The following is a 24,699-nucleotide window of genomic DNA, read 5'->3' on the forward strand; positions in this document are numbered from 1 at the left end:
TATACACTCTGAAGGGCTTTGGAGGGCAAAAGCATTTGCAAGAGGCACAGGGAATGGCCTAACTGGAGCACTGGGGTATGCAAGGACACTACATAGGGGAGTATGGAGAAGATCAATTTGCGTCAAGTTCAGGACTTGACTTGAAAAAAAATCAGAGCAGTGAAAAACACGATAAAAAAGAAGCAGAGTCGGGCGTGGTGGCTCACACCTGTAATCCCAGCACTTTGGGAGGCTGAGGTGGGCAGATCACCTGAGGTCAGGAGTTCGAGACCAGCCTGACCATCATAGAGAAACCCCGTCTCTACTAAAAATACAAAATTACCTGGGCACGGTGGTACATGCCTCTAATCCCAGCTACTCAGGAGGCTGAGACCTGGGAGGTGGAGGTTGCAGTGAGCCAAGATTGCACCACTGCACTCCAGCCTGGGCAACAAGAGCAAAACTCCGTCTCAGAAAAAAAAAGAAAAAGAAAAAGAAGCAGAAGGCAGACTGTTAAGAACTTCTGAATGCTAGACTAAGTTCACTTATTAAAATGAAAAATTAATAGTATCCTAATAGCATCTTTTACTCTCTAATCAAGGCTAGTCCTGAGTCTATCCTCACGCCTAAACACACACTCACATAGCGTTTATACCTACCTTTTGTTTTCTTTATTCAAATAATGCTCTCACCTCTATTTTTAACTGGCTAAAATCAGAATTTTTAACGCAAATATTAAAGTAAGCACCATAACATTATATAAAACAGTTTAAATGAAGAATTGAGTTAGAATGTTATATTCTAACTTTTTTCCATGAAAAGGATCATTACTTTTGCAAACAGAATTAAAAAATCAAAAGGCAGACTTAACAAAAAGAGAAGCCCATTCACCCCTAGGTTCTTTGACTTCTTTTTATCAGATGACTCACTTAAACTAGCAATTCCTAGTAATCTTTATACCATCTGCCTTTAGCAAAAAGACCTTCAAAATTTGCACCTTAAAATACCCTAACAAAGTGCTAACATAGGGAAAGTTGCCAACATTTTTAATCAGACATCACGTGATGGTATGTGTATGTGGGGTATGTGGTTTTGAGTGTTTATTTTTATTTTCTTTAGGAGCAAAGAAATGTAATAAACAACTGTTTTCATAATAAGAAAAATATAAAACCATGTCACCGGGATAAGGGCAGAGTATAGTATCTTCAGTGTAATTTACATGTTTAAACTCTACATACATAAAAACAAATATTTCACAAGAATCTCTAGAATTCCCTAAAGTAAACTATGATTTTTTTTTTTTGAGACAGAGTCTTTGTCACCCAAGCTGGAGTGCAGTGGTGTGATCTTGGCTCACTGCAACCTCTGCCTCCCGGGTTCAAGTGATTCTCCCGCCTCAGCCTCCCGAGCAGTTAGGATTACAAGCGTGAGCCACTGTGCCCAGCTAGTTTTTTATAAAGTAATATACCACCAATAATTTCTCATACACAGTATTAAATGACAGTACTCTGGTTACTTTAAGGTGTCACTGCTGGGATATTTATCAAAAGGAGACAGAAATCCAATAGCTGGCAATGACACAGCAACAGTTACTGAAAAGAACTGTTAATATTATCTGAAAGATTAAAACTGCATCTTGCTCCTTTAATTTTCAACTCGTCTGAAAAATGAGGGCCTGGAAAGTACTGTGTTCACCACCACACTAAACTTGGCCACAGGGCACCCTATATTCACACTTCATGTTCCTGTAACTATGTACACATCATCTATAAAAAGTTCCTTGTTTCACCTGAAAAGCAGCACAGACTAGTATTCACATCTACTGATAGCCATCATAACCTGAGTAAGTGTGCAGTATGCGCAGAGAGGCCTTTATAAAGCCAAAGGAAAAGCTCTTAGTAATGACCCGTTTCAGCTGAGACAAGCTGACCTCCACTTTTGAAATGGTACTTAATCATTCACCAAAATAGCTGCATGTAATAAACCACTTAAAGCATATTTTTTAGAAAGGTAAAGGAGGCTGGGTGCAGTGGCTCACACCTGTAATCCTGGCACTTTGGGAGGCTGAAGTGGAAGGATCACTTGAGCCCAGGTAGTTGAGACTGCAGTGAGCCATGATAGTGCCACTGCACTCCAGCATAGGCAACAGAGTAAGACCCTGTCTCCCCCAGCAAAGAAAAAAAAAAGGAAAAGAAGGGAGGGGCTAATTTTCTATGAATTCCTTTTTACACTTAATTCACTTTCAATGCTTGCACTTTCAAATGGTTCAATGTTTTTAAAAATGAAGTTTTAAGTCTTGATTCTGGAAGATAGTTCTAGAACTAGCACTAGTCCAATTTCAGAGGTTTTTATTGCACCCATTAAGAAACCATTCTATTTTCATTTAAGTCAAAAATACTTTAAAAGTTAACTTAAAACTTTGGTAGTTTGCTTGAATGTTACTCTCACATGTACCAGGAAGGCTCTCAAGGTGTTAATATCCCGAAAGAGTATTCATGGGTTATCAGTAAGAATCCTTACTGTGCTGGATCATTAGTTCTCAACATTATATGTATTACCATCCATCCACCTCTAAAGTCTCCTCTGCATAGCACAGAGTTTAATTTTTTCCAATGAAAGAAACTTCAAAATTAAAGAGATGTCATTACAGTTAAGCAACCATGATATCCAGACACCACCATCTTAAGTGGTAAGTAAGATTCCACTTGCCACTACAGACTAACAAGAAGAGATATTTCCCACAGACTAAAGAGCTGGGGCAATTTATTGGCAAACTTTTGAGAACCATATACTTCAAGACTGTACTCATTAAATAATTGCTCCCCCGATCTACAGAATGCAACCTTCCCAACACACTCTTACTGAGCTCTTTGCACATTTCATTGTTACATCAAATTCCTTTGTCTGATAATAGCTCAGTCTTCCTGAGCTCAAACTAGTACATCTACCTTCTTTGTCTTTAAACTAAAATCTTTTTATAATCATTTTTTAAATGCAAAAAATGGCAATGAATGGAGAAGACCTGAAAGGTCTTCTCTCAAGCTTCTAACAGCTCATTTCAAATATTTGCTGAGTACCTACTCTGAGCTAGAAACAGTGCTGGTACATGAGGACACAGCCTCTGTTCTTCTTAAAGTAATTAATCAGAAGAGACATTCCCATAAGTAAAAAGATTCCAGTATGTGTCATGTGTAGTGATCGACCTATGTATCAGGAAATAATGAGTTATCCCGAGGGAAACAGGCTAAAATGTCATCAGTGGTGAGTCTGAGTGATTACTTCCTAAGTTCCTTTATCTTTTCCAGATTTTCTATGATATGGTATAATACGCATTTACTGCTTTTACAGCCCGAATAAAAATCTAAATAACCAAAATAAAATAATAGAAATAGTACTAGTAACATTTATTGACTATTATATACCCTGTGTGCTACATGCTTCACATGCATTATCTCACTTAATAAAATCACCCTATTAAAAAAAGACTGTTATCCGTATTTCAGAGAAGAGGGAGTCAAAATATGAAAAAATTTGCTAGAAATGTATTTTTCAGCTAGAATTTTTACTTATTTCCTCAGAAATAAGCAGGGGTTGGGACAAAAACAATCAGTTGTGTAAACAGAAAGAGTCGGAAATAGATGCCATTTGTTGGATGTATAACCATAAGCAAGCAACTTAATCTCAGCGAGCCTCAGTTTCTCCTATTGCATTGTATTGCAAATGACTTAGTAGGCCCTAACTCATTTAGGTTCCCAAGAATAACTCATTTAGGGTTCTCAAGAATAAATGATATTATGTATAAGAAAAATAAAGAACTCTTTCTGGCAAATAACTGACAACAGAATGTTATCAGTAGCTTCATCAGTATAATCCGAAAAACCTGGACAAATTATTTAACATCTCTGAGTTCAGTTTCTCTACCTGTAAACTGGGGATAAAAATACCTACACCATGCAGTAACTATGAGAATTACATGAGATAATACACAGTACAGTGCCTGGCATGTGGTAAAACAGTCAAAACAGCTATTATAATTATCCACAGGACAAACAAAATGGAGCTGGCTAAATAAGGTACAGTGCATGCATATGACGAAATACTTTGCTGTTGAATATGTAAGGACATGATAAAAATATTGACAATGTATAGCTGTTTAAAAATTATGTAGAGTAAAAGTCTTCTTTAAAAATATATAAATATATGTTACAAAATATATGAAAAGTAACAAGAATACATTCCAAGATCTACAATTTGTGGATTTTTTTTAACTAACTCAGTTAAAAAAAAATTAAACAATTCTCACTATTATCACCACCACTGTATGAAGCAAGATGTTAACGCAACAATTTTTAAAATTCCCATATATATGTATTCAGATAAGCAGGAGCATCATGCCCAGATACCCCATTCCATTACATTATCACCAGGATTCTTTAACATACAAATATTCTTCTCTGAACATTAAAAAAAGGGATTACTTTAAAACTTCTCAAATTTTAGTGAGAGAAAAGGAGGCTATTTTGTTTCTAAGACATACATTTTTAATTCCCACAATTCCAGGCTTTCACATTTTGTATTGTTTAATACAGAAAAATTATTCTGACTAAAAATAGGAAGAAAACAACATTTCCACAAGGGCAAATTCACCCCAAAAGACTGAGAATTCTAATTCTTAAAAGGAATAAAAATTAATGTCAGGCGCGGTGGCTCATGCCTATAATTCCAGCACTTTGGGAGGCTGAGGCGGGCAGATCATGAGGTCAGGAGTTCGAGACCAGCCTGCCCATCTCTACTAAAAATACAAAAAATTAGCTGAGCATGGTGGTGTGTGCCTGTAGTAGTGCCAGCCACTCAGGAGGCTAAGGCAAGAGAATTGCTTGAACCCAGCAGGCGGAGGTTGCAGTGAGTCGAGATCATGCCAATGCACTCCACCTGGGCAACGGAGTGAGACTCCGTCTCAAAAAAAAAAAAACTAATTTTTAAAATGAATATTTCACAATATAGGTGACACTAAAGTCACAATTCTGAGACTGTGACCAGAGAAGAGTGTCATTAAATTAACAAGAAGAAATACAAAATTATAGTTTCTTAATTTCTAAAAAATTAATAGGCTAACATGAAAGTTATATTCAGCAAAAGGTAGAAATAACTATCAGAGATACTGAAAAAATATGAATCCTGGCTTGGAAAAACATATTAGATATTATATTGTAAAACAGTTAAGAAATGCTATTTCATTAATTTCAGGGTTTTACCTCTTTCTCTTCCTACTTTCATCGCAAATTATTTATCACTCAAATTAATAACATTTAACCACCGACTACACATGGACATGCAACATTCATTCAACCTTGAAGGTGGGAAAGAAAAGAGAATTCTCAAAAGCACAGAAATCACCCTTTTAAGCTGCAAATTTTACAGAAGCTCTAATACTAAGCAGATTCTCCCCAGCAAAATGCATCTTTTCTTAAGGCACAAAGGTCCAAGATATCCGAACAGTGAAATACAATCAAGATATCTGAATACATGGAGAGCAAATTATTTTAGTACTGTTCTCTCTTAGTGTCCACAAAGTAAGCCTCAGTAACCCACAGATTTTATTTTCAGTATTCTAATACTGTCTCCCTCTACTGTACAAAAAAGGAAATTGAAAGATTTTTACCATTTATTTCCCTTAAGACATAATTAAGAAAACTTCTTTCAATTTGTTTTCCCCCAAATAGTTTTTAGAGTTAGTAATCTAACAAGATTGTTTGTGTGTGTGTGTATATATATATATATTACATATTATTAATATATATAATATATATTATATATGTGTGTATATATATTATACATATATATATATATATATATATATATATATATATATATATGTATGTATGTATGTATGTATAAAATATGGAGATTCCAGGGACAGGACAAGAAAAATAATCATCCTTTAGAACAAATCCTTAGAATCTAAGTTCTTCAATTCAAAACTTGGGAAAAAACTAAGCAAAGGCATACTAGTTTGGTTGGGAGTCAAGTGTATGTATGTGTCCTGGGCCAGGCTGAGCAATTAGTTAACTAGGTAACCTTGGGGAAAGATTTAGAGTCCATTAACTTCAGATTTTTTTCCACCTTCAAAACTAAGAATAAAAATACTCTGCCAGTGTCACAGGACTAAAACTAGAACCCAATTTTGATTGATTCACTGAACTAAGCACCCACTGTGCAATACACATGGCAAGGGCTGCCAAGTTTAGCAAACAAAAATGCAACACAGAACACACTTATATAATAAAAAAATAGGCCAGGTGCAGTGGCTCACGCCCATAATCCCAACATATGGGAGGCTGAGGCGGGTGAATCACTTGAGGTCAGGAGTTCGAATCCAACCTGGCCAATATAGTGAAACCCCCGTCTTTACTAAAAATACAAAAATTAGCCACGTGTGGTGGCACATGCCTGTAATCCCAGCTACTGAGGAGGCTGAGAAAGGAGAATCGCTTGAACCAGAGAGGCAGAGGTTGCAGTGAGCCAAGATTGGGCCACTGCACTCCAGCCTGGGCGACAGAGTGAGACTCTGTCTCAAAAAAAAAAAAAAAACCTAAATAAATAATTCATTGTTTATCAAAAATACAAACTTAATTGAGCATGCTGTACTTCATCTGTGAACCCTAACTGGGGCACATACAAACATACAAATAAGACATGCTTCTGGCCGGGTGCAGTGGCGCATGCCTGTAATCCCAGCACTTTGGGAGGCCGAGGTGGGCGGATCACGAGGTCAGGAGATCGAGACCATCCTGGCTAACACGGTGAAACCCTGTCTCTACTAAAAATACAAAAAATTAGCCGGGCATGGTGGCAGGTGCCTGTGGCCCCAGCTATTCGGGAGGCTGAGGCAGGAAAATGGCATGAACCCAGGAGGCGGAGCTTGCAGTGAGCCGTGATCGTGCCACTGCACTCCAGTCTGGGCGACACAGTGAGACTCTGTCTCAAAAAAAAAAAAAAAAAAAAAAAAAAGTCATGCTTCTTAACCTCAGAGACTTACATAGGAATGAGGGATATGAAATGTATACATAAACGAACTACTATACAAGGAAGAAAAGTAGTTGTTTAGCATTTAAAGAGGAAAGGGGAAGAAAGGCAAACTGAGAACATACTAAGTAGGACTGAAGAATGGTTAAAATCAACAAACGCAAGATACAAAACAGAAAAAAGAATGAGAGATGAGAGTGCTTAATTACATCCTCAACTCTAGCCACACAGATCTGTGTATTTATCACACATGCTATTCTTCCACCAATATATGAGATGGCTAAGTAATACAAGCTCTTAAGTCATTTATCATTAATTCACACTCAAATTACTTCAAATGGACATGCATTACCAATCTCTTGATAGACATACACCAAAAAATCAAATTTATAATTTTCGGAAATATCTCCCTTTCAAATCCACCTAGAGTTTTGTGCTTGATTACTCAAAATTATTTTATTAAACAAATTCTACACAATGTGGACAGGACCAGAGGCAGACCAAAATCCTGGTAAGGGCCGGGCATGGTAGCTCACGCCTGTAATCTCAGCACTTTCGGAGGCCAAGGTGGGTGGATCACCTGAGATCAGGAGTTCGAGACCAGCCTGGTCAACATGGTGAAACCCCCGTTTCTACTAAAAATACAGAAATTAGCCAGGCATGGTGGCGTGTGCCTATAACCCCAGCTACACAGGAAGCTGAAGCAGGAGAATTGCTTGAACCGAGGAGGTGGAGGTTGTAATGATCTGAGATCATGCCGCTGCACTCCAGCCTGGGCAACAAGAGCGAAACTCTGTCTCAAAAAAACAAAACAAACAAACAAAAAAAACAAAAAAACTTGATAAGATTTCATCCCTTTTCTCACTTTCTATTGTCCCAAGCAGCTATTTCATAAATCTGCCTCATAATTAACCAGCTCTGTTCTTCACAATCTTTAAATGAATAAATAGGCAGATCCTTCTTAGCTAGATGCAAAAAACTACTTCACTTTGCACTTCCTGCTCCAACCCTCCGAACCTGTCTCCTTTCTGCAGGCCCAGTTACTTACCATTCTTCATGACACAGGCCATCCCTGATCCTATTCCACAACAGGAAACTTCACATGTCCTTAGAACTTTAACTTAATAAATAGTAACACAGTTTGCTGCAGGACTTTGTATAAAAAGGAGTAGTGGCCGGGTGCCGTGGCCCACACCTGCAATCCCAGCACTTTGGGAGGCCAAGGCAGGTGGATCACTTAAGGTCAGAAGTTTGAGACCAGCCTGGCCAACAATGGTGAAATCCCATCTCTGTCAAAAATATAAAAATCAGCTGGGCATGGTGGCAGGCACCTGTAGTCCCAGCTACTCAGAAGGCCGAGGCAGGAGAATCACTTGAACCCAGGAGGTGGAGGTTGCAGTGAGCTGGGATTGTACCACTGCACTCCAGCCTGGGCAACAGAGAGACTCTGTCTCAAAAATAAATAAATAAACAAATAAATAAATAAATAAAACATTAAAAAAATCAGTAGTGATGGAAAAAGCCTACCTATATCATTTATTCACATTAACTCATTTACCATTATACCTTCATGTAATTTTATAGCTGAAAGGACTCCAGAGCTCATTTGGTCCACGGACTTCCTTTCAAAGGTACTGTGAATTTAGTCATAGTCATTTTGTGCCTAGACTAAGTTCACAGGGCAAGCCAAGATCCAGAGTCAGATATCTTGATTTTCAGTTCAGTACTTTTCTTACTAAATTACATTATTATCTACATTTTTTAAAAAAATTGAGGCAGAGTCTCACTGTCACCCACACTGGGAGGCCGAGACGGGCAGATCACTTGAGGTGAGGAGTTTGGGTCCAGCCTGGCCAACATAGTGAAACCCCATCTCTACTAAAAATACAAAAATTAGCCATGCATGGTGGCGCATGCCTGTAATCCCAGCTGCTCAGGAGGCTGAGAGAGGAGAATCGCTTGAACCAGAGAGGCAGATGTTGCAGTGAGCTGAGACTGGGCCACTGCACCCCAGCCTGGGCAACAGAGAGAGTCTCTGTCTCAAAAATTAATTAATTAATTAAACATAAAAAAGGAGTAGCCATGGAAAAAGCCTACCTATATCATTTATTCGCCTGAACTCATTTATCATTATACCTTCATATAATTTTACAGCTGAAAGGACTCCAGAGCTCATTTGGTCCACGGACTTCCTTTCAAAGGTACTAAAAATTTAGTCATAGTCATTTTGTGCCTAGACTAAATTCTCAGGGCTAGCAAAGATCCAGAGTCAGATTTCTTGATTTTCAGTTCAGTACTTTTCTTACTAAATTACACTATTATCTACATTTTTTTTAATTGAGGCAGAGTCTCACTCTGTCACCCAGGCTGGAGTGCAGTGGCATGATCTCAGCTCACTGCAACCTCCATCTCCCAGGCTCAAGTGACTCTTCTGCTGCAGCCTCCACAGTAGCTGGGATTACAGGCGCGTGCCAACACGACCAGCTGATTTTTGTATTTTTACTGGAGAAAGGGTTTCGCTATGTTGGCCAGGCTGGTGTATAACTCCTGACCTCAGGTGATCTGCCCAACTCAGCCTCCAAAAGTGGTGGTATTAACAGGTGTGAGCCACCACGCCTGGCTATTATCTACATATTTTGAGTGATAGTTAAATATTCTCTGAATATTAATTCTATTGTATAGCTTTATTTCTTTTTGAAAATATAAAGGAATCTAAAACTTAGTTACTTAAACTGTAATTTTTCATTGTTCCCTCATAATGAAGTAACATAATATTTAGCGTAATTAAAAAACAAAACAAAACAAAACAAAAAAGCAGATTCATCTTTATGGTAGTGTGTCCTTTTTTCTCTTTTTTTTTTTTTTAAGACAGAGTCTCGCTCTGTCACCCAGACTGCAGTACAGTGGCATGATTTTGGGTCACTGCAACCTCCACCTCCTGGGCTCCAGGGGTTCTCCCACCTCAGCTTCCTGAGTAGCTGGGATTACAGGTGCCTACCACCACATCTGGCTCATTTTTGTATTTTTAGTAGAGACAGGGTTTCACTATGTTGGCCAGGCTGGTCTTGAACTCCTGACCTCAACTGATCTGCCTGCCTCAGCCTCCCAAAGTGCTGGGATTACAGGCATAAGAATCTGCACCCAGCCTAAAAAGCTTTTTAAAGAAATAGAATATATTAGGGGGCTTGGTGGGGTGACATGCACCTGTAGTCCCAGCTACTTGGGAGGCTGAGGTAGGAAGACTGCTTGAGCCCAGGAGTTTGAGGCTGCAGTGAGCTATGATGGCACCACTGCACTCCAGCCTGTGTAACAGAGCAAGACCCTGTCTTTAAAAAAAAAAAAAACTAAAAGTTACTTTTATTCAATTCCACCATAATTTTTAATAACTGAAAAGACTTGAAGGTCTTCATGCCCAAAACAATAAACATTATACTGAATTAAAGATAAACATTTCCAATTTTCCTTAACTTTTGTCTTAGCCTATCATAAAAAGCCCTACAAGTGATTCAAACTGTTGGACCTAAATAAATGTAATAAGGTTTTAGTAAGGAACAGATAAATAATCATTTTGACCATACTAAAACATACCAAATAGATTTGAACCACACAATAAATTCATTAAAATAGCCCAATAAATTTCATGACTAGAAACTTCCATATTTATGAAAAAATGGTTTTATTTCAGTTCCTAGAGGAACCAGTACTTAAATGGAATTGCTTAGTATTTAACTGACAAAGAGTTCATCCTGTGTCCTGTCTCAAATATACTTGGTACTTGAAATTTAACCTAAGTAAGTAAAAACATGAAGAATGAAAACTCTGGACTTACCACCTCAGATTCTGAGCCTATTAAAACATAAAAAGGAAGCATTTTCAGTTAACAGCACATTTAAAGGCAAAGGTATTTATATGATTTTTATTGCACAAACATACTGATTAAGCAAGCCAATTCTCCATACCTTTCAACTAAAGAAAAGTGGGTTCATTTTGCCTCCTGAATTCATTTTAGACTCCTTAGTAATTTCTTTTTTTGAGACAGAGCCTCGTTCTGTCGCCCAGGCTGGAGTGCAGTGGCGTGATCTCAGCTCACTGCAACCTCCGCCTCCCGGGTTCAAGCGATTCTCCTGCCTTAGCTCCCGAGTACCTGGGGCTACAGGCACGCACCACCACGCCCGGCTAATTTTTGTATTTTCTTAGCAGAGACGGGGTTGCACCATGTTGCCCAGGATGGTCTCAATCTCCTGACCTCGTGATCCGCCCGCCTCAGCCTCCCAAAATGCTGGGATTACAGGCGTGAGCCACCGTGCCCAGCCTAGACTCCTTAGTAGTTTCTCACTGATATGCCATACCAGCAATCCACCCAAATCTCCTTTTCAACCTAAGAAGCTAGGCAAAAAACAGTATATTTTTGGAAGTCTACATTTAAGGAAACATGTACTATTTAAAATAAATTATAAAGGTAAAAACAAATTTGTTTAAACCAAAAAATTTCAAATGTTTGCTTCTTTTTAAATTGAAATACCAAGGGAGATCTACATACCATTCTGAGCTTCTTGACACCTTTTAATCCAGTCACTGAAATTAGCATCTGCACCTAGAAAGAAAAACCTATCACATCACTCATCTGCATAACCTATTAATCAGCAAATACTTATTAAATACCTACTGCATCCCAGGCACTGTTCTAGGCACTGGGGAGTCAGCAGTGAATAAAACCTGTCTTAACAGAACTTATGGCAAACTCTGTTATAGCTATAAACATACCAATAGTTTAACATTTAGTTCTTCATCCTGAAACATTTTGATTTTTTAAAATTAATTTTAACTACAGTCAACCTCACTAATTTCATAGATATAAATAATGTACATTTCCCTCAATCCCTCTGCCCTTAGAGAAGCTTCCTCACCCACACAACAAAGTCAGATCTAAATCAGACTCCCAAAATGCCATTAGTTAGGGTGGGGAGGAGGCTTGGTAACTGGGAGCTGAGTTGAGGTCCATAAGCCTTTCCCAGTCCCAACTCGCTCTTCAATGCGGCTACCTATTCAGTCCACTATTCTCTCAGTGGCTTTATCTGTTCCCATCCCTTTCCTACCAACACCAAGAAGTATCTTTAAATTCTGTGAAGTTTTCTCATATATCCAAGTTACATGGGGGTCAAAAGGCTACAGGTGATAAATTATATACTTACAGATAATAGTGTAAATGTATGCATAAACAAATTATTCATTTCTGGAGACACAGAACAATGATTACATTTATACACAGTGCATAGTGAAATACGTTAAAAACCTTGAAAGTACTCTAAATAAAAGCCTACTAATTCAAGTTAACTCCAGCCAAGAGTAATCTGGAAATTTTAAACTAAAAATCTCTTAAAACAAAATTTTCTAATTTACTAATTTATAAAAGAAATACAACTACATGGACCTTAATAAAAATTTTAAATATACTCTCTCACACACACTATATTCTAGGGAAGAGGGTTTGAATAACTTATTATTTTAAATAATCAGTAACTAAAACCAAGCAGTCTATCACACAAAGAGGGGAAAAGGTAATATTCTGAGTTATAAATTTTGTACCCTGTCTGATAAAAATAGAAGCCTAAAAGTTTAACTTAAATTTTTCCTGGATTTGAATTTAAAGATAAATTTGTTTTTTAGTGAAATATCCTCAATAGCAATTTTACCAAAGAGGCCTTCTTCTGAAGGCCACCTCTGAAGTAATTACAGAATAAATGTCAATGGCATGATATTAAGATATTATTCGGCCGGGCGCAGTGGCTCACATCTGTAATCCCGGCACTTTGGGAGGCTGAGGCGGGTGGATCACGAAGTCAGGAGTTTGAGACCAGCCTGGCCAACATGGTGAAACCCCCATCTCTACTAAAGACAAAAAAATTAACTGGTTGTGGTGGCACGCACCTGTAATCCCAGCTTCTCTGGAGGCTGAGGCAGGAGAATCACTTGAACCCAGGAGGCAGAGGTTGCAGTGAGCCGAGAATGCACCACTGCACTCCAGGCTGGGAGACAGGGCGAGACTCTGTCTCAAAAAAAAAAAAAAAAAAAAAAAGAAAGGAAGGAAGGAAAGGAAGGAAAGAAAATGAAAGAAGGGAAAGAAAGAAAGAAAGAAAACTCAAGAAAAGAATTTAGGGGCCAAGTGCAGTGGCTCATGTCTGTAATGCCAGAGCTTTGGAAGGCCAAGGCAGTAGGATCATTTGAGGCCAGGAGTTCAGAGACCAGTCTGGGTAATGTAGCAAGACCTCATCTCTACACAAAAATGTTTAATTAGCTTAGTGTGATGGCACGTGCCTGTATTCCCAGCTACTCAGGAGGCAGAGGCAGAAGGACAGCTTGAGCTCAGGAATTCAAGGCTGCAGTGAACTATAATGGTGCCATTGCACTCAAGTCTGGGTGAAAGAGTAAGGCTCTGTGCCCCCAGGTCCAAAAAGAAGAAAAAAAAAGAAAAGAATTTAGGCAGGAAACTTTTCTATTGCTCTTAAAAGTAATAAGGCCTAGAAATGCAGAGGATGAGGTCAGGCATGAAGGCTCACGCCTGTAACCCCAACACTTTGGGAGGCTGAGGCAGGTGGATCACTTTAGCCCAGGAGTTCAAGACCAGCCTTTGTAACAGGGCGAAACCCTGTCTCTGTGAAAAAAAAGCACAATTTCGTCAGATGTGGTGGCACGTGCCTATAGCCCCAGTGACTTGGGGGGCTGGGGTGGGTGAATCACTTGAGCTCAGGAGGCGGAGGTTGCAGTGACCCAAGATCACATCACTGCATTCCAGCCAGGGCAACAGAGTGAGACCTTGTCTCAAAAAAAAGAAAATGTAGAAGATGGTATGACTCATGTTTTTTCAGGGGTTTCAAGTATGTATCAAGGCACTAGATAACTTGACTCTGGAATTTCCTAGGAGTGTAGATATGCTGTCTTCCTGACTGAATAACCCTATTATTCACATACCAAAACTGAAACTGGGATAAGCAAATTTGACAATAAGCCCTGTCACCCAGTCCTTTCCTTTCCTAATTTGTAGCTTCCATTTGTGTAATCAGGCCTAAAATCCCTTTTTTGAGTAGGTATACAGCAGAAAAGCAAACATTCAAAGCAGTACAGAGTTAGAATTTAACACATAATACGTAAGAGCAGAGTTTCTTAACTCAGCACTACTGACGTTTTGAACCAGATACTTCTCTGTTGGGCAGGACTGTCCTGGCCATTATGGGCTGTTTCGTAGCACCTCCTGGTTTATACTCATTAGATGTCAGTAGCTCATCCCCCATCCACCAATCATGATAATCAAAAATCTCTTCAAACATTGCCTAAAGTTTCCTGGGACACAATTGTTTCCAGTTAAGAACCACTGCTTTACAGAATTGTGATAAAACTCTATCATAACATAAAGATAAAATAATAGTACAAGTAGGATTATGTAGTCTACAATTTCCTGGGATTACTCACAACCTCTTAGTATTTTTCCGATTTTAAAATTCTTGCTCTCACAATTCCTATATATGTCTAAATATCCACAATGCTGTGATAATTTTCATATATTCCCCTCAAAAATATAACATTAAAAACTAACAATACTCTCAAAACGCTGGGTTTCTTCTGTACTCTCTCATAATTTATCCAAATGTACACTTCACTTCTCCATAAAAACCTTATTGTTAAGATTTCCCATCTCAGCATTCTTAATAACTTAAAATGAACAGACTTCTGACCAAGAAAGCAAATTAAACTTTCATTTCTCCATTAGAAAAAACAAAGCCAGGCCAGGCGCCGGTGGCTCACACCTGTAATTCCAGCACTTTGGGAGGCCGAGGCGGGTGGAACACGAGGTCAAGAGATCGAGACCATCCTGGCCAACATTGTGAAACCCCACCTCTACTAAAAATACAAAAATTAGCTGGGCATGGTGGCACACGCCTGTAGTCCCAGCCACTCGGGAGGCTGAGGCAGGAGAATCACTTGAACCCAGGAGGCGGAGGTTGCAGTGAGCCAAGATCACGCCACTGCACTCCAGCCTGGGTGACAGTGCGAGACTGTCTCAAAAAAAAAAATAAAATAAAATAAAGAAAAGAAAAAAACAAAGCCAGACTAAGTAGAGAGAGCATGTTAAGTGTTTCCATATAGTTTTTTACTTCTAATGGTAAGTTTATCTGTGGTTTAAATGCTAAAAGGCTAATTTAACCAATTTTAAGTGATCTCATATCTGCGATCAATATGAAATGTAATTACGGTGAGAAAAACAGGTATTGGGTTTCTGTAATTAACTTGAGATTAACATTAACAAAATTCAGCTTTGGTATTTAAGACAGAAATAGGTAAGTTTATAAAACCATAATTTAATACTTACTAATTTTTGTCCTCCTATAAAAGTTTCTAGAGCAGCAGCATAGTTTTTTAAATGGTATTCACATATCCTGCATGAACATATTTAAAACAAATTAACACACATACAAGATCTGGAAAATAGCCTTCTTTCTAAATGAAAACATCTTAGTATTTTCTATTGTTGAAAGAAAAAATTTATTTTTAAGTATATGTTAGTAAGCCAAGAGACTTTCTAAAATACTGTTAACATCTAGTACAATTTCCAGTAAAATTCAATTTTAGAACTTACTTCAGAAGGAATTTCACTTTAATTGTACATACCTGCTTATTCCAAAATACATACAAAGGAATTAAAGCAGTTTCTTACTTAAAGAATAAAGTTACACTTATCAACAGAAACAAGTTGGGATATAAAGCACATAGATACAGAGCTTTCACACCATTAAGCGTAGCCCATTCAGCTTGGTTGAAGAATAGGATGTCCTCTAGTCAGTTAAATATGGTAAATTCCAAATTTTAAATAAAAAAAGAATGTGAAATCCATCAGTTTCATCTATACCTTGCAGTTATTTCAATCATCGCTATTTTTAAATATATTAAGTATAGATCTCCATCACATACTATGGTTAACAAAATAATAGAACTATAACTTCATATTTAAAATTGAATCATATCTCTGCTATAAATACAGAATTTTACTACTTATAAAGCTTACACTGAACTCATTCAACAAATTACACATCTCCTATTTACAGTCCAAGCTCAACAAAAAGAGTAGCTATTGCATACCCTTTTCTCAGCACAGCAGTGGAATTATTTGGATTGAATTCGCGAGACTTCTTTGCATCAGCAACAGCAACTATGTAGAAAAAGATGCGTTTCTGGCTGGGCATGGCGGCTCACGCGTGTAATCCCAGCACTTTGGGAGGCCGAGGCAGGTGGATCACGAGGTCAAGAAATCGAGACCAGCCTGGCTAACACAGTGAAACCCCGTCTCTATGAAAAAAAAAATTAAAAATTAGCCGGATGCAGTGGCACGCGCCTGTAGTCCTAGCTACTCAGGAGGCTGAGGCAGGAGAATCGCTTGAACCTGGGAGGCAGAGGTTGCAGTGAGCCAAGACTGCGCCACTGTACTCCAGCCTGGGCAACAGAGTGAGACTCCGTCTCAAAAAAAAAAAAAGAAAGAAAGAAAAAGATGTTTTTTGTCAGTTATTTACAGATTCTAGCAAACACACACAGAATACTGATCAGTTTTAGATTTCCAAGTTTTCGAGTTAATAGAAACGCCAAATGGTTTTAAATTAGGAAAAGCTAATCCAACACAGAATTCAAATAAATATTACTCTTGTACCTTCCTTTTGGCTTAACATTTAGCTTTCTTCTTAAAGCTCTTCGGTCAGTGAATAAAGCTGTGTGACAAAATTCATCTCCTTTTCTCATTAGCATCACTTATGTAATTTGGCGGGGTGCAGTGGCTCCCGCCTGTAATCCCAGCACTCTGAGAGGCTGAGGTGGGTGGATCACCTGTGGTCAGGAGTTTGAGACCAGCCTGGCCAACATGGTGAAACCCCCTCTCTGCTAAAAATACAAAATTAGCCAGGCATAGTGGCATACACCTGTAGTCCCAGCTACCTGGGAGGCTGAAGCAGGAGAATCACTTGAACCTAGGAGGCAGAGGCTGCAGTGAGATGAGATTGTGCCACTGCACTCCAGCCTAGGCAATAAGAGCAAAACTCCATCTAAAAAAAAAAAGATATTCAGTTTTTCCCTATCCAGATTCTTCATCAGAATAATTTTTAAAGTTACACAGTACAGGAATACATTATTTTTTTAATATAGATAGGGTCTTGCTATGTTGTCCAGGCTAGACTCGAACTCTTGGGCTCATGTGATCCTCCCGCTTTGGCCTCCCAAAGTGCTGGGATTACAGGCGTGAGCCACCATGCCACATTCTTTTTTATAAAAAAATACAAAGAAGAGCATGTCATTTTAATACTCTGTTAAACAGTAAATGTGATACTATTCTTTATCAGCCTACTCAATAACTACGAATGAAACCTATATACATTATCCACCCACTGAACGAAAAAAGAGACATCCATAAAATTTAAATAGGTGTTGCTCAACATGTCTGTCACACTTGAGCTACTTTACCTTGTATGAAAGACCAACTCAAAAATCCTCAAAGACAACCTTTATTTTATTTGATTAATTGGTCATGGGTAAAATGTATAAGTAACTTATTAAAAAGGGGCAATATACTTTATAAGAAAAATTACCACAGTAATTCCCAAGAAGAATGTGACAATAAGCTCTTTGACGATAATATATGTGCATCATCTGGTTTCTGTTCCAAAGCCTTAGTCAGCTCCTACAAAAACAAACATGTTGAGTGTCAGTAAAAGTTTTTTAAAAGCCATCAAATAAATTCTAATTAAAACATCATTTTTAAACAAATAACTTATGATCAGAAACTACTTGGAGGAAAGATAACAGGGATGTAATCTTGGAGTTTTTCCTCGTAAGAGGATCTCCCCGGTTTCTCGCGGTCCTGCTAAAACGCTGTCAACCTAACGCTCCACCAGAGAGGCCCGTTGGCTTCTCGGGAGGCGACCGAGGGAGCTCAGGAGGCGGGGAGGCTTTTACAAGAAGCGAAAGGACGGCCTCAGGGGTGGCCGGGAACAGCCTGGAATCAGCTGGAGGACATCAGCAGGACTGAGGAAAGGGCCACCACCAGCGTGAGGAAAGGGGGGAGAGGGCAGAACGCGGCGAATGGCCGCGCTCGAGGGCTGGCGGGGTCCCAGCGAGCAGCGGCTGGGAAACAATGGCGCGAGCGTGACGTGGGCCGGAGGCGCCGCCGCGGCGCGGAGGAAGGGGCTGCCGTGGGACTGTAGAGTCTGTAGAGTCTTTTGGAATTTATGTGATTACAATCTTGCAGTCTGTGAATAGAGATGGTTTAACTTTCCTGTAATCTTTATACCTTTTAGTTTTGTTGCTGGCTAGTATGTCCACTATTGAATAGAAATAGTGATAATGGACTTCCTTGTCTTGGTTGTAAAATCAAGAGGAAAGCATTCAATATCAAGTGCTTTTTCTACCTTTATTGAAATGTTCATATGTATTTTTAATAATAATATGTTACTGTTATATAATAATAATTTTAAAATAATATTTTAATAATAATGTTACAATGTGACCAATTACATTGGTTAATTTTCAAATGTTATCTAAATGGCCGGTTGTCCTTCCGGATCCCCATTGATTCCGATTGGGATGACACTATAGGAGAGGCAGAACCAGTGAAGGAAACATAACGTTTATTCAGGAGTTACATACAGGGGTGGTCCAGTGGTGGTGGGCTGGCCTGGAGAAACGCTACCGTTTGTATAAAAAAAAAAAAGCATGTAGTCCATATAGCATATCGCATTTTCACTTAGAACCCTCCTTCTAGCAGTCTCCATTTAACCCAAAATAAAGGGCCTTGATCACCTGTACAGGCTGTGTTCCAAGGGATGGGGCAGGGGTATGGCTGTCCTTCATAGGTAAGTAGTGAATCTCAGTGTTGGCTACTCCTGGATTCCTTAGCCTGGGACTCCAAACACACTTAGAATAGGGTTATTCTCAGGTATGCTCCATTTATGGCTCAGCCATACACCAAGGTGTATACACCAACCCCTGCCATGCACCAATATGCATATAAATATGAATAGCCTCTGAAAGGGCAAATTCCTAGATTGACCTATAGGCCCACATGAAAAGTTCTATATTAATAGCTATGTCATGGCTGAGCACAGTGGCTCATGCCTGTAATCTCAACACTTTGGGAGGTCGAGGCGGGTGGATCCCTTGAGGCCAGGAGTTGGAGACCAGCCTGGGCAACATGACAAAACCCCATCTCTACTAAAAATACAAAAATTACCTGGGCTTGGTGGTGCACACCTATAATCCCAGCTACTAAGGAGGCCAAGGCACAGGAAACACTTGAACCTGGGAGGCAGAGGTTGCAGTGAGCGAGATGGCACCACTGCACTCCAGCCTGGGCAACAGAGTCAGACTCTGTCTCAAAAAAAAAAAAAAAATAGCTGTATCGTGGACATTGAAATTATAATGAGATAATAAAACTACCACCAGAATGACTTAAATTAAAAGGATTTCCAATACCAAGCATTGACAAGGATAGGAGCATTTTTTAGAGAGAATGACCAAGGAGTTGGCTACAGTCAGGTGCTGCAGAATCAGATCTGTGGACCTTAATGTGCATCTGGTGAAATAAATAACTATAATGGTGAAGAACAAAGCAATTGCCCAGGAATCCTACTGTGGTCTGAGATAAGAAGATCATTCCTATTGCCACATCCCTGGAGGCCATTTTTCTTTTTTCAATGACTGATCATCCTATTCAGAGTGAGAGGATCTGGCGTGAAAACAAGAGGCCTGTTGTACTATGGCAACTGAAAGCCACTCTTTTCCATGTACCATTGTTTTCAAGCCATTAATTTCCTATTAAACTTCATTTTCCTCTTCCTGAGAGTTTCGCTATAAAAATATATGTGTGTATAGATATATATTCCCAGCATAAGAGTGCTGTAACAGTGTTTTACATAGAACTTTTACAACAATTCTTTGAAGTGCTTTATTGTTCCCATTTGACAGGTGAGGTGATTTCGGGCACAGGAAGGCTGAATGACATTTCCAAAGTCACCTCCTTGTAAGAGGCAGTGTCAGAAGCTGACAATGGACTTGACCACTATGCTGTCATAGCAACAGAGAGAAATAATTTTTAAGACAATCCATGTATTTAAAAAATATTTTTGTATCTCTTGTGAGTTTTTAAAAGAATCGTTTTGAATTTTTTCTTTTTGATTGTGATTGAAAACACCAATGCTTGTTTTATAGGCAAATATCATCTATAGTGATCAGAGATCCAAGTAAAATATAGATGTGCTGATCTTAGCATAATCTTAGAAGAATAATTATATACAACCAAATGGAATTTCTTAAATGCACAAATGGAATTAAAAGAGGAGGTTCTTTTCCATCTTAACCAAGAAGGAGGGCATAATGGAATGACCATGTGCTAAGCAAGGGAGCAGGAAAACAAGTAGGAGGGAAAACACTGCAGAGGAGAAACTAAATTACCATGAGTGTAGAAAGAAAATGAGGACTTGTGAATATGAAAATATCAAATACAGTATTTCAATGTCAGGATGGTTCACTATATTAAAACTCAAGTCCATTATGCACAAGAAAAACTGGAGGTAATGATTATACATTGACCCAAAATAGTACCAACATGAGCACTGAGCCTGGGGATGACATGAAAACATTCTTAAACAAGAGGAAAGATCAAAAATAATGCAATTCTGAAAACCGCTGAAGAGCATAATGTTTTTTTCTAACACAAAAAGCTAAATTCATTTACTTTTCTTTGCTGATTTCATGAGGGAAAGGAGTCTCACCATAATAAAGAGACAATAGATTTTTTCTGTCATGACACACTTATGGTCTCCATTTGGTATATTCTGTGCACAGAGTTGGTGAAAACACTATATTTACTATTTCTGAACAGAATAAGGTAATTCAATCAGCTACATCTTATACATGATCACAGGCATGGAGGTGTCATAGAAACACCTCTACAAATCTTGGAAATGTTCATGCAGATAAGACAGGGCAGCTGGCAAATTAATTTCCAAATTATATTAGAGAACTTAAAAATAGGCTGGGTGTGAATGGCTTATGCCTATAATCCCAACACTTTGGGAGGCTGAAGCAAGAGGATTGCTTGAGGCCAGGAGACCAGCCTGAGCAACATAGGGAGAACCTGTCTCTACAAAAATTTTTTTTAAGTGTGCTGAGTGTGGTGGCACATGCCTGTGGTCCCAGCTACTCAGGAGGCTGAGGTGGGAGGATCGTTTGAGCTGAGGTATTCAAGGCTGCAGTGAGCCACAATTGCACCACTTCACTCCAGCCTGAGCAATAGACCTGTCTCAAAAAAAAAAAAAAAAGATTTCATGACTTTATTCAAACCAACAATGATGAACAGTGAGGATTACATTAAATGAGAAGCAGTTAGGGGCTGGTTTATGGTCTTGACCTCCATTCCTTCTCCACGAGTGCAGCCCATGACCCAGTGATGATTTCCCCTTCCCTGCATTGCATTGGCACTGACTTAGTTTCTAGACCAGAATCCTGTTTTCCAGACAAAAGCCCTGCTCCATCTCCCAGCACACTTCCTTCCCTTGCAGGCTATGCCTTCTAGACTGAAATGGAAAATACTCACCTTATTTTTCCCTTGTTGCTGGGACAACAGGTGCAGGGTGATGCTCAGGACAGCCAGTGGGTGAGTGCGTGGAGGGAGGCATCCAGGTCTCAGATATGGGTTTGTGTCCTGTGACCTCACCTTTTCACATCACTGCAATGAGCAGTTCACCTGTGGCAACAATGACAGTGCACATTTGGGGAGCTAAAGATATTTCAATAAACTTTGTCCCAGTTACCAATTACCAAAAACAAGTACAATTTTCTGTGAAGGGGGCCAGCCCCTCCACACCTGTGGTTGTTTCTCATCCGATGGAACGAGAGACTGAGAAAAGAAAGAGACACAGAGACAAAGTATAGAGAAAGAAACGTGGGCCCAGGGGACCAGCACTCAGCATACGGAGGACCCGTGCCAGCACCAGTCTCTGAGTTCCCTCAGTATGTATTGATCATTATCTCTACCATCTCGGAGAGGTGGATGTGGCAGGACAATAGGGTAATAGTGGGGAGAGGGTCAGCAGGAAAACATGTGAACAAAGGTCTCTGTGTCATGAGCAAGGTTAAGAAAAGGTGCTGTGCTTTGATGTGCACATACACAAACATCTCGGTGCATTAAAGAGCAGTATTGCCACCAGCATGTCTCATCTCCAGCCCTAAGGTGGTTTTCTCCTATCTCAGTAGATGGAACATACAATCGGGTTTTACACCGAGACATTCCATTGCCCAGGGACGAGCAGGAGACAGATGCCTTCCTCTTGTCTCAACTGCAAAGAGGCCTTCCTCTTTCACTAATCCTCCTCAGCACAGACCCTTTACGGGTGTTGGGCTGGGGGATGGTCAGGTCTTTCCCTTCCCACGAGGCCATGTCTCAGGTTATCACATGGGGAGAAACCTTGGACAATACCTGGCTTTCCTAGGCAGAGGCCCCTGCAGCCTTCCACAGTGTATTGTGTCCCTGGGTACTTGAGATTAGAGAGTAGTGATGACTTTTAACAAGCATACTGCCTTCAAGCACTTGTTTAACAAAGCACATCCTGCATAGCCCTAAATCCATTAAACCTTGAGTCAACACAGCACATGTCTCTGCAAGCACAGGGTTGGGGCTAGGGTTACAGATTTAACAGCATCTCAAGGCAGAAGAATTTTTCTTAGTACAGAACAAAATGGAGTCTCTTATGTCTACTTCTTTCTACATAGACACAGTAACAGTCTGATCTCTCTTTCTTTTCCCCACATTCTAGTGGGCATCTCTAGCAAGATGAGAGTGTTTGGCAGAGGCTGTTGCTTTCCATAATCCCTGGAGGCAACAGGAAGGGGCTCCTAGGGAGGGAGCAGGAAGGGGTGAGTCTAGACTAGGGGCTGGCAGCAGAGTGCACATGTTTTACTGGAGTCTGTGCTTTCCTGAGATGGTCCCCTACAGAAAACCCAATTTTCTGTTAATCCTCAGATTCCTGAGCCAAACTATTATTTCACTGTGAACGGAGAGACGGGATCATGCGAGGAACTTGAGAAGGATATGTGAACAGATTACAGTGCAAACAGCAACTTGAAGTCAAATACTGATATGAAAAATAAATGGGAACAATGTTGGGCATTCCAATGTAAATTAATCAAATGTAGATGTTATATATTCTATAAATATATATTTTATTAACGTTTACCCCTAGAGAGATAGAGATTCTAAATTGTACAATATTTATAAAAGAAAAAGAGACATTTATCAGAGTCCCTCAAATACACAGAAGCACCAAGTTCATATGATCCAGAGAGAAATTCTACTAGTAAACTAACTGATAACCTGACGCTACCTAAACTATTCAAGTCTTAGTCAATCTTCCCAATAGTTTTCAGGAAGGGTGCATAAAGGTGATATGAGATCTTACCCTGGTTTGAGCCATGTATTACAAAAGTATAGGACATGTGAATATAAATGTAGACTTTTTAAATATTAGAAGCCATTGTGTCAGCACTAGAAGCCACTGTGTGAGCACATTGCAACATTACATCATAATCCCACTGCCTTTTGTGCCAGAAATGCAAGTGAGAGTCAACACTTGGAAATCCATTAATGTAATAAATTATGTTAACAGAATCAATCAGAATGTTATGTGTTCATGTTCATAGATTTAAAAAAAGACATTGCCAGGATTATGCAGAAAATCATATTTAAAAAATTGATAAGGAACTAGTGTAAAATATATACATATTTTTAGACAGGGTCTTGCTCTGTCACCCTGGCAAGAGTGCAGTGGTGCAATCATAGTTCACTGTAGCCTCGGCCTCCTGGGCTCAAGTGATCCTCTCACCACAGCCTCCCCAGCAGCTGGGACTATAGGCACATGCCAGCACACCCGGCTAATTTTTTGTTTTTTTTTTGTATCTCGTAGAGACAGGGTCTCACTATGTAGCCCAGGCCAGTCCTGAACTCCCGGCCTCAGTGGATCCTACTGCCTCAGCCTCCCAAATTACATGCATGAGCCACTGCACCTGGCCCTAAATGTTTCTTGAAAGCAAAATCTACTTTCTATAGAGGTGGGCCTGAGTCAACCCTTTCGAAGCCATTAGGGGCCAGGTGTGGTGGCTCATGCCTGCAATTACAGCACTTTGGAAGGCCGAGGCGGGTGGAACACCTGAGGTCAGGAGTTCCAGACCAGTCTGACCAACATGGGAAAACCCCTTCTCTAGAAAAAATACAAAAATTAGTTGGGCATGGTGGGCACGCCTGTAGTCCCAGCTCCTCAGGAGGCTGAGACAGGAGAATTACTTGAATCTGGGAGGTAGAGGTTGCAGTAAGCCGAGATTATGCCATTGCACTCCACCCTGAGCAACAGAGCAAGATTCTGTCTAAAAAACAAAAGCAAAAACAAACAAACAAAAAAAATTAAAAAGCTATTAGGACAGTCTTGGAAGAAAAAGTCTTGGAAGGAAAAGTCTGTTGGGTAAGGATTAATTAACCAGTACACAGGCAGGCAAGGTGACCCCTAGTGGTCAGCTAGTCTCAGAAAAAAATTTATGCATCTAGGGAAAAATTGGTCACAACTAGGCAATTAGATCACAGCCTGCCCATCAAGTAAAACAAAATTCTGTGTC

General features: G+C 39.5%; 2 pseudogenes across 1 annotated transcript; both read right to left on the reverse strand.

Moving 5' to 3' along the window:
• Positions 1-7,763: 7,763 nt before the first annotated feature.
• Positions 7,764-18,174, reverse strand: SUGT1P1 (SUGT1 pseudogene 1; annotated as a pseudogene). Its single transcript, NR_003667.3, is given in 7 exon segments — positions 7,764-7,798; positions 10,835-10,851; positions 11,546-11,599; positions 15,371-15,437; positions 16,138-16,344; positions 17,628-17,719; positions 17,827-18,174. The product of NR_003667.3 is annotated as an SUGT1 pseudogene 1 (transcript).
• On the reverse strand, positions 19,534-19,717 carry VN1R47P (vomeronasal 1 receptor 47 pseudogene; annotated as a pseudogene).

Source organism: Homo sapiens, chromosome 9 (genome assembly GCF_000001405.40).
Source record: "Homo sapiens chromosome 9, GRCh38.p14 Primary Assembly".
NCBI classification, from domain to species: domain Eukaryota; kingdom Metazoa; phylum Chordata; class Mammalia; order Primates; family Hominidae; genus Homo; species Homo sapiens.